Source organism: Homo sapiens, chromosome 13, assembly GCF_000001405.40.
Source record: "Homo sapiens chromosome 13, GRCh38.p14 Primary Assembly".
NCBI classification, from domain to species: Eukaryota; Metazoa; Chordata; class Mammalia; order Primates; family Hominidae; genus Homo; species Homo sapiens.
In genome coordinates this window covers 75512263-75524070 of record NC_000013.11, presented here as the reverse complement: position 1 = coordinate 75524070, position 11808 = coordinate 75512263, and the positions used below count along the sequence as shown (strand labels likewise).

Below are 11808 nucleotides of genomic sequence, written 5' to 3'. Positions count from 1 at the left end.
CTCCATGTCCAGTTTCCCCTATTAACATATTAGTATGGTACATTTGTTATAATTAACAAGCCAATATTGATATATTAGGTTTCTTTAGTTTTTGCCTAATGTCCTTTTTCTGATCTAGGATCCCATCCAGGATACCTCATTACATTTAGTTGTTATGTCTCCTTAAGCTCATCTTGGTTATGACAGTTTCTCAGACTTTCCTTGTTTTTGATGACCTCGAGAGTTTTGAGGAGTACTAGTCAGGTATAATTTAGGGTGCTCCTCAATTGGGTATTGTCTGATGTGTTTCTGGAATTGAATTGTGGGTTTTTGGGAGGAAGATCACAGAGGTAAAATGCCATTTTCTACATGTCATACCAAGAGTACATATAGCAAAGTGATTTATAGTGGTTTATGTTGACCTTGATAATTGACTGAAGTAGTGTTTGTCAAGTTACTCTTTTTCCCCCTTCTTTCCATACTTTACTCTTTGAAAGGAAGGCACTATCTGCTGCCCATACTGAAGGAGTGGGAAGTTATACCCCTCTCTTTTACGGTGGAGCACCTACGTATTTTATTTGAAATTCTTCTGTGAGCAAGGTTTGTCTCTTCTCCCCCATTTATTAATTTATTCAATCATTGATATCAGTATGTACCCATGGATATTTATTTTATACTTGGGGTTATAACTGAATTTTTTTGTTGCTCAAATTATTCCACCTTTTCCATTGGTAGCTCTTTGGGTTGGCTCCTGCGCCCCTTTGACACACTTTTATCAATGTGTGTGTGAGAACACTTTCTTACTTTCTGACACTACAAGACACTTCGTCTTGTATGTTTCCTGCCACAGTCCTAGAATCCCATTACTTTCAGGAGCTCTGGTTGTTTTAATTGAACTATGGTTTTAGAAACCAAGATATGGATGCTAGGTTTGCTCTATATTTTATATTTTGAGAGCATTAAAACGTAGAAGTCACCCGGGTGCAGTAGCTCATGCCTGTAATCTCAATTCTTTGGGAGGCTGAGGTAGGAGGATCGCTAAGCATTTGAGGTTACAGTGAGCTATGATTGTCCAGCCTGGGTGACAGGACAAGACCAAGATACGTTAGACCACAAAGCCAAGCCCTTGTTTGAGGATTGGTAAGAATGATGACCTGGACTCAGTAAATGCTCTCACTTTAGTTTACGATGGAATCACCTAACCAACAGGACAATATTTTGTATATGCCCTGTTTGTATGTATAAGATCAAAGATGCAAGAAAGTGGATATATCTATTTGGTAAGGTAGGCCAGAAGGTTGACAGTTTTACTAACTCATGAGGAGGCAGATATCATCTAAGTTTGAGGAGCCCAGAATTTTGGGCTTGCTGTCTTTCATACTGTTTTGAGCTGGGTGGGACGGATGGGGAGAGGACCCACTCTTACCAGGATATTTTTGAAAATAAAAGTGGACATCATTAATATGCTACAATACAGATACAAATTGGGACTGCCCTGAACAAACCAGGACATATGGTCACCCAATTCTCATCATACTAAGAAATTATTACTTAGCCACAACATCTATGCTCTATTTCCCTTTGCATCGTCAAGCCTGTTGAAGCATTCAATGTAGTGCCCTTAAAGTAGACCAAGTGTTGGCTAGTCACAGCTCATATTAGACTTACTGGTCATGTTCTAAGGAAAAAAAAAATCTTACATTTGAAAGACACCTATATGCATATAAAGCATTCATCATTTAATGTTGTATTGGTCCATTCTTGCACTGCTATAAAGAAATACCTGAGACTGTGTAATTTATGAAGAAAAGAGGTTTAAGTGGCTCACAGTTCTGCAGGCTATGTAGGAAGCATGGCAGCTTCTCCTCGGCTTCTGGGGAGGCCTCAGGAAACTTACAATTATAGTGAGAGGCAAAGAGGAAGCGAGCACTTCACATGGCCGAGAGCAGGAAGAGGAGAGAGAGGTGGTGGAAGGTGCCACACACTTTTAAACAGCCAGATTTCATGAAAACTCACCATCATGAGAACAGCACCAAGAAGGGAAATCTGCCTCCTTGATCCAATCACCTCCCACCAGGCCCCATCTCCAACACTGGGGATTACAATTCAAGATTTGGGTGGGGATACAGATCCAAACCATATCATTCTGCTACAATCCCTCCCAAATCTCAAGTCCTTCTCATATTCCAAAATCCAATCATGTCTTCCTGATAGTTCCTCAAAATCTTAATAACTCATTCCAGCATTAACTCAAAAGTACAGAGTCCAGTGTCTCAGCTGAGACAAGGATAGTCCCTTTCCCCTATCAGCCTGTAAAATCAAAAACAAGTTGGTTACTTCCAAGATGCAATGGAGATATGGGCATTGGGTAAACATTCCTATTCCCACATGGAAAAATTGGCCAAAAGAAAGAGGCTACAGGCCCCATGCAAGTCCAAAACCCATCAGGACAGTCATTAAATCTTAGAGCTCCAAAATAATCTCTTTTGACTCTATGTCTCACATCTAGGGCACACTGATGCAAGAGGTGGGCTCCCAAATCCTTGCACAGCTCCACCCTGTGACTTTGCAGGGTTTAGCCCCTGTGGCTGCTCTCACGGCCTGACATTGAGTGTCTGCATCTTTTCCAGGTGCAGGGTGCAAGCTGCTGGTGGATCTACCATTCTGGGGTCTGGAGGATGGTGGCCTTCATCTCACTCCACTAGGCAGTGCCCCAGTGAGAATTCTGTGTGGTAGCTCCAGCCCCACATTTCCCCTCCACACTACCCTAGTGGAGGTTCTCCATGAGGGCTCTGCCCCTGCAGTAGACTTCTGCCTGTACATCCAGGCTATTCCATACATTCTCTGAAATCTAGGCAGAGGCTCCCAAGCCTCAGCTCTCATAATCTGGGCACCCACAGGCTTAACATGACATGGAAGCTGCCTAGGCTTATGGCTTACACCTTCTGAAGCAGTGGCCTGAACTGTACCTGGGCCCCTTCAACCCACAGCTGGAGCTGAAGACTGGAATGCAAAAAGCAGTGTTTTAAGGCCACACACTACTGGGCTCTGGGCCTGGCCCGGGAAACCATTTTTCCCTCCTAGGTCTTTAGGCCTGTGATGGGAGAGGCTGCCACAAAGTTCTCTGAAATGCCTTCAAAGTGTTTTCCCCCTTGTCTTGGCCATCAGCATTTGTGTTCCTTTTAGTTATGCAAATTTCTGCAGGCTGATTGAATTCCTCCCCTGAATATGGGATTTTCTTTTCCATCACATGGCTTGGCTGCAAATTTTCCAAACTTTTATGCTCTGCTTCCCTTTAAATATAAGTTCCAGTTTCATATCATTTCTTTGCTCACACATATGAACATAGGTACCAGAAGGAGCCAGGCTACTTCTTGAACACTTTGCTGCTTAGAAATTTATTCTGCCAGGTAGGCTAAATCATTCTCAAGTTCAAATTTTCACAGATCCCTAGGGCAGGGGCACAATGCAGCCAGGTGCTTTGCTAATGCATAACAAAACTGACCTTTGCTCCAGTTTCCAGTAAGTTCCTCATCTCATCCAAGACCTCCTCAACCTGGACTTCATTGTCCATATTACTATCACCATTTTGGTTACAACATTTTAACAAATCTCTAGGAAGTTCCAAATTTTCCCTCATCTTCCTGTCTTCTTCTGAGCCTAGCACACTCTTCCAGCTTCTGTCCAGTTCCAAAGCCACTTCCACGTTTTCAGGTATCTTTATAGCAATGCCTCCCTTCTACCAATTTTTTGTATTAGTCCATTCTCACACTACTATAAAGAACTACCTGAGACTTGGTAATTTATAAAGAAGAGGTTTGATTGGTTCATTGTTCCACAGGCTGTACAGAAAGGGTCGCATCATCTCCTCAGTTTCTGGGGAGGCCTCAGGAAACTTACAATCATGGTGGAAGGCAAAAGGGAAGCTGGCACTTCACATAGCCAGGTGCAAGAGGAAGAGAGAGAGGTGGGAAATGCCACACATAAACAACCTGATCTTGTGAGAATCCTATCAGGAGAAAAGCACCAAAGGAGAAAATCCACTCTCAGGATCCAGTCACCTCCCACCAGGCCCCATCTCCAACCCTGAGGATTATAATTTGATATGAGATTTGGGCAGGGACACAGATCCAAACCATATCAAATGTCATGGTACAAATTCATGTAATCAGTAATTTATATCTGAGGATTAACTTTTTTAAAAAAATTGTAATAGACTATTTTTTTAGAGCAGTTTTAGGTTCACCACAAAATTGAGTATAAAGTTCCCATATATTTGCCCTCCTACATCATACACACATGCACAACCCCCCATTACCAATATCCCCTACTGTGTCCAGAATTGGTGGGTTCTTGGTCTGGCTGACTTCAAGAATGAAGCCGTGGACCCCCACTCCGAGTGTTAGTTCTTAAAGGCAGCACATCTGGAGTTGTTTGTTCCTTCCCGTGGGTTCGTTGTCTCGCTGGCTTCAGGAGTGAAGCTACAGACCTTCGTGGTGAGTGTTACAGCTCATAAAGGCCACATGGACTCAAAGAGTGAGCAGCAGCAACATTTATGGCAAAGGGCAAAAGAACAAAGCTTCCACAGCATGGAAGAAAACTCGAGCAGGTTGGCATCGCTAGCTCAGGCAGCCTGCTTTTTTTATTCCTTTATCTGGCCCTACCCACATCCTGCTGATTGGTCCATTTTACAGAAAGCTGATTGGTCTGTTTTACAGAGAGCTGATTGGTCCGTTTTGACAGAGTGCTGATTGGTGCGTTTACAATCCCTGAGCTAGACACAGAGTGTTAATTGGTGCATTTACAATCCTCTAGCTAGACATAAAAGTTCTCCAAGTCCCCACCAGATTAGCTAGATATAGAGTTCTGATTGGTGCAGCCACAAACCCTGAGCTAGACACAGAGTGCTGATTGGTGCATTTACAACCCTCCAGCTAGACATAAAAGTTCTCCAAGTCCCCACCAGATTAGCTAGATACAGAGTGCTAATTGGTGCATCCACAAACCCTGAGCTAGACACAGAGTGCTGATTGGTATGTATACAATCCTCCAGCTAGACATAAAATTCTCCGGTCCCCACCCTACTCAGGATCCCAGCTGGCTTCTCCTAGTGGCTCCCTCCCCGGGCCGTGCCCCCTGAGTCCCGCACCGCGTGCCTGCACTCTTCAGCCCTTGGGTAGTCAGTGGGACCAGGTGCCAGGAGCAGGGGGTGGTGCCCGTTGGGGAGGCTGGGGCTGTCGGGGAGCCCACCGGGGATGGGGGGGCTTGGGAATGGTGGGCTGCAGGTCAGGAGCCCTGCCCTGCGGGGAGGTGGCTGAGGCCTGGCAAGAATTCTAGCATGGCGCGGGCGGGCCAGCAGTGCTGGGGGACCCAGCGCACCCTCCGCAGCTGCTGGCCCGGGTGCTAAACCCCTCACTGCCTGGGGCTGGTGGTGTCGCCCAGCCGCTCCGAGTGTGGGTCCGCGGAGCCCGGGCCCACCTGGAACTTGCACTAGCCCGCAAGCACCACGTGCAGCCCCGGTTCCCGCCCGCATCTCTCACTCCACACCTGCTGGCAAGCAGAGGGAGCTGGCTCCGGCCTTGGCCAGCCCAGACAGGGGCTCCCACAGTGCAGCGGCGGGCTAAAGTGCTCCTCAAATGGGGCCAGAGCAGACATGGAGGCCAAGCAGGCGCAGAGAGTGAGCGAGGGTTGCTAGCACGTTGTCACCTCTCACTACCAAAGTGGTACATTCGTTACAACTGGTGAACCTACATTGACAAATTATTGTCATGCAGAGTCCATAGCTCACATTAGGATTCACTCTTTGTGTTGTATATTCTATGGTTTGAAAAAGTATGTAATGACATGTATCCACCATTAAAGCACACAGAGTAGACTCACTGTCCTAAGAATTTTCTGTGTTCTGCCTAGTCATCACTGGGAGGGCCATAAGCCCCTGGCAACCACTGATCTTTTTCCGGTCTCCATAGTTTCTCATTTTCCAGAATATCATATAGTTGGAATTATACAGCATGCAGCCTTTCCAGATTGGCTTCTTTCACTTAGTAGTTTGTATTTAAGTTTCCTCCATGTCTTTTCATGGCTTGATAGCTTATTTCTTTTTACTGTTGAATAATATTCCACTGTCTGGCTCAGAATTTATTTTTGCTTTCTCAGATCAAGAAAGATGTTTAAAATACCCAACACTGTCCTAGATATTGAAAATAAAAACAAAAATGGCAGGTCTCCAGGCCTCAAACCACTTTAAATCTACTCAAAGATTATAAATCAGGGTGGTAAGTATTCTATTATTTAGCATATGGGTTCAATTTATATAAGAGAGATCTGACATTGATAAGGCTTATACAGTAAGTTTATTTCTCTCTCTTTTGAGACAGGATCTTGCTCTGTTGCCCAGGCTTGAGTGCAGTGATGTGATCTCGGCTCACTGCAACCTCTGCCTCCCAGACTCAAGTGATTTCCCCATTTCAGCCTCCTAAGAAGTTGGGACTACAGGCCTGAACTACCACACCTGGCTTGTTATTATTATTATTATCTGTAGAGATGGGGTTTTGCCATGTTGCCTAGGCTGGTCTCAAACTCCTGAGTTCAAGTGATCCACCCGCCTCGGCCTCCCAACGTCCTGGGATTACAGGCATGAGCCACTGTGCCTGGCTAGTTTATTTCTCTTTCACTGAAGTATCTAAGCTGACATGGTGGCTCTCCTTTGCAAGTCATTGAGGGCTCCCATCCAGTTTCTACATCCAGCCAACCTAATTTTCCAAGCTGTATTCTGTCCACCTCTATAAAATTAGCCTGGGTGTCTTAGTCCATTTTGTGTTGCTATTACAGATTATTTGAGATGAGGTAATTACAGATTATTTGAGATGAGGTAATTGACAAAGAGCAAAGATGTATTTCTTTTTTCTTTTTTTTTTTCTGATGGAGTCTTGCTCTGTCACCCAGGCTGGAGTGCAGTGGCGCGATCGCAGGTCAGCTAATTTTTTTTTGGTATTTTTAGTAGAGATAGAGTTTCGTAGTCTTGATCTCCTGACCTTGTGATATGCCTGCCTCGGCCTCTGAAAGTGCTGGGATTACAGGCATGAGCCACCGCGCCTGGCCGCAAAGGTGTATTTCTTACAGTTCTGGAAGCTGGAAAGTCCAAGGTTGAGGGGCCTGTATTTGGTGAGGGTCTTCTTGATGCATTATCCCATAGTGGCAGAAGGTGGAAGGGTAACAAAACATATGCAAAATTGTGCAGGGTGGGGGAGGGGGAGAGAGAGAGATTGAACTCATCCTTCATCTGATTCCCACTCTCACAATAACTAACCCACTCCCACAATAACAGTATTAGTTCATTCATGAAAGCAGAGCCCTTGGGTCCTAATCACCTTTTATAGGTCCTGCCTCTAGACACTATTGCATTGGGGATTAAGTTTCCAACACATGAACTTTGGGGGACACATTCAAACCATAGCACTGAGTTTCTCTTTCTTGTAGGACCTTGGCAGAAGTGGGAAGAAGCACACCGATGTTCTGACATTTTTTTCTAGCTACTTTTTCTAATGCAGTAATTCTTACCTAGGGTCAGCTCTTAAAAGGGACATTAGGAAGAACATGGGGATGTTTTTGGTTGTTATATTGACTGAGGATTACTACTAGCATTTCATGGGTTACGAGCAAAAATGCTGAACATCCTAAAATGCCCGGGGCATTCTTGAACCACAGAAAATTGTTTTACCCAAAATGCCAATATGACACATATTTAGAAACACTGCCATAGAGCTATAGGCTCTACATACATGTGGTCTAAATTTTAAGGCATCATATGGTGACGGTTTCACCAAATGTTGGGCCAAGCATAAGAGTCGCCAGTGTTAGCTTACGATATGCTCATCACCTGTTGCCTGAGTGCCAATGCCTCTTGTTATAGGTTTTATTACAGTATCATCTTACTTTTAGGTACAAATTATGTATTAGGATATCAGTCCTGCTGCTGTAGTAGTAAACCCAAAATGGTTTAAATAAGACAAATTTATTTCTATATGTCCAGGCTGGCTGCTCTACTTGAAGACATCAGGGGCCTAGTCTTCTGTCTTGTAACTCTACTATTCTCAATGTACAGCTTCCTTAATAGATTCAGGATGATTGCTCCAACTCCTGGATTCATATTCAACTTCTAGTAGAAGTGATGTTCTAGGGCCATTAACCCAGAAGTTTCCCCCATCACTTCTGCTCACATACCATTGTCCAGACCTAGTAACATGGCCATAGCTACCTGCAAGGAAAGCTGGCAGTTTTACCTTAGCAACTCTGTGCCTAAATAAAACTTCCATAATCATAAGAAGGAAAGAACAGATATTGGAGGTGATATGATTTGGCTGTGTCCCCACCCAAATCCCATCTTGAATTCCATAATTCCCATGTGTTGTGGAAGGACCTGGTGGGGATAATTGAATCACGGGGATGGTTTCCCGCATGCTGTTCTCATAGTAGCAAATAAGTCTCATGAGATCTGTTGGTTTTATAAGGGGTTTCCCTTTTCTCATTTTCTCTCTTTCCTGCCATGTAAGATGTGCCTTTCACCTTCTGCCATAATTGTGAGGCCTCCCCAGCCATGTGGAACTGAGTCCATTAAACCTCTTTTTCTTTATAAATTACCCAGTCTAAGGTATGTCTTTGTCAGCAGTGTGAAAATGGACTAACACAGGAGGGCAAATAGTTTCTGCTGTAAGTGTTAAGACAAAGGTATGTAGAGTATTGTATGAGTGTGGAAGAGACTAGTGGGTTGCTAAAGGCTCCCTAGAGGTTCTAGTCCACCCTAAGAGAGAAAAAAAATTAGAAAAAGAAGAAATTATATAATAATAAGATTCTTCTAACTGTATCAATGTTAATCATTTTTAAATGATGTTACATATATTCAGATAGGAATGTAAAATTCATTATTACAAGCCCAAAATAAAAATTGTTTGGCATTACAGTCTTCTTTTTTTCTTTTCTTTTTTTTTTTTGGTCATTCTAAAATTATGTGATAAATATATTCAAAAAGATATTTTGGCATTTCCATAGAGAATTGGCATTGTCAGGCAAATCAAAATATAATTTAAAGGAAAACAAGAAGTTAGATAATACCAATGGTATCTTGTATATTGCTGCAGGGAGTATATATTGGTATAACCACTTGGGAAAATTATTTGGTTTATTTTATAAAGTTGAATTATCTATGTCCTATGACTCACCAATTCCACTGCTTGAAGCTCTTCCCATTTATCTTCAAGAATGTTCATAGCTTCCTGTTCACAACTGCAAAAAACTGACAACAGCCCAAAAGACCATACACAGGAAAACTAAGAAATCGTGGTTTTCACAGTGGAGCACTGTACTGAAGGGAAAATCAGTGAGATAAAAATACACACAACACCATGAGTGAATCTTAGTAATACAATGTATGCAATATATGTGTATGTGAAAACTTACTGAAAAATAAATTAAGGAACTGAAAAACAAAATGGAGAATAGTGGTTACCTCCAAGCTACAAGATGGGAAGAAGTTAGGGGCAGGACAGAAGAGGAGCCCATAGTAGATGTCAATTCCTGGTAATGTGCAAGCCGTCAGGTTGGGTCATAAATTTGTGGTGTTATTAATATCATTAAATAAATCCATAAAATAAAAAGGGGCATAGACCAATGATGTTTAGATGAAAGATGAAAGTGTGCAGCAAGCCAAGGAACATGATTAGATGATTAATCCAGGGTGCAATTCTGTGCTTCTGAAGTTAAAACAAGCAAATAAACATACAACAAAACCTATGAATGTATGCATTTTGCTGATGTAGGTATTATTGAAAAGAACACAGGGCATCAACTAGTCCAATATCTAGAGCTTAACTTTGTAAGTCAAAAAACTCAGTCAGGCTAGCGATCCTTCCTCCAGAGAAATGATTCATCCTGAGCAAATTCAGTGAAGACTGATATATCACTCAAAATTCCTGTTTTCTAATTTACACTGAAAAATTTAATGGCCAAGTGGACTATAATGGTTATGTTATTCATTCATTCAACAAATATTTATTGAACATATCCTATGTGCCAGACACTTTGCTAATCACTTGGGATGCAGCACTGAATAAGAAAATTTTCACAAGGCTTGTAATCTATTTAGAAAGCCAGACATTTAATAACATAATAATAAAAGTCAGCTCATCAGCCTACTAACTTGCTTTACATAATGTAGAGGAGTGGAAAGTGTATCCATTTTGAAGACTGAACAAATTGACTTAGCTATGTGACCTTGGACAGAAGGTCTTCGCCATGCCTGCTTTGCAGCATTTCAACACTGCTGTGGACCAGGACTGCTGAGCTCCCCATTAGTCTCTTTCCAAATGGGACTCTTACTTGTGTTATCTTTACTTTGTCCCTGATCCATCAGTGTGTATTGGTGTGTTAAAATAAAAACTTTAGACAAATTTAACAGTATTTAATGGAGCAAAGAACCATTTGCAAATCGGGCAGTTCGCCTAAACCAGAATAGATACAGAGCGACCCTGGCACTGCCATGTGGTTGGAGAGGATTCATGGACAGAAAAAGGAAAATGACTTACAGAAAACAGAAGTGAGGTACAGAAAACAGAAGTGAGGTACAGAAACAGCTGGACTGCTTACAGCTTGGCGTTTGCCTCATTGGAACATGGTTTGAACAGTTGGTTGCCTTTGATTGGCCAAAACATGGTGATTGGTATAAGAGTGGCTTACAGTCTGTTTACACATCCAGTTTGGTTACCATTCACTATATACGGAGAAACCTTTAGGCTGAACTTAAAATATGTTAAGGAGGTAGCTCTAGGCTACACTTAAATTACAGGTGTGTAATGGGTGGCTAGATAAGTTGACTTTTGGTTCCTAGGTTGCTGTAGTATGTGGATCTACATTTGAATATGATGGTGGCAATGAGCATCAAATGGAGATCCTTCACTTAGATAAAGATGTGGTGTTTTCTATGTGTGGGAAGAGAAGGGTTGTGGATATTTGGAGGCCAGAGTGGCAGCTCCTGGCAGAAATGGCTAGCTATGGCCAGGTGCGGTGGCTCATACCTGTAATCCCAGCACTTCGGGATGCTGAGATGGGAATACTGCTTGAGCCCCAGAGTTTGAGACCATCCTGGGTAACATAGTGAAACTCTGTCTCTACAGAAATTTTTAAAAAATTATCTGGGCATGGTGGTAGGTGCCTGTAGTCCCCAGCTACTTAGGAGGCTGAGGTGAGAGGATCGTTTGAGTCTGGGAAGTCAAAGCTCCAGTAAGCCCTGATCATGCCACTGTACTTGGGTGACAGAGTGAGACCTTGTCTCAAAAAAAAAAAAAAAAAAAGGACATGGCTAGCTATTTTTTCTCAGCTGTAAAAATAGGGAAAACAACTCGTAGGATTGCTGTAAAATTAAATACCATATGTAACATAGTAAACACTGAAAACATGTTAATATTCTTTGAGGAATGCGAATCTGAAGGATGCTCAATGAAGATGAAATCAGAGAATAGGGAATGATGCAAGCCAGATGCAGCCGTCTTCACCAGAAAAATGTATCTGTCCAGCAGGCCCAAGTACATCTGACAGCTGGTCAGTCTAGTCTCTTCCCTTGTAGTGCTTAGTGACACATTGACTAATTCTCAGTCTTTGGCTTTCACTTTTCAATACTAAATACTTGAATCCCCTCTTTCCCCACACAGTCTTTTTTTAGACTTGTTACAGTTTCGATGCCCTGATTTTCTTCCTCTTTGTCTTCCTATGTGGCTCATCTGAGAAGTTTTGATGTGTCTGAGAAAATACACACAGTAGAAAGAGTTAGAAAAGCAT

General features: G+C 42.6%; 1 annotated feature.

Annotated features, from left to right (window-relative positions):
- Positions 10504-10553: an enhancer, noted in NCBI's record as "active region_7828". NCBI's record gives its function as "activates an Ori minimal core promoter by ATAC-STARR-seq in GM12878 lymphoblastoid cells {active_cell/tissue: GM12878}" and the evidence as "EXISTENCE:reporter gene assay evidence [ECO:0000049][PMID:35858748]".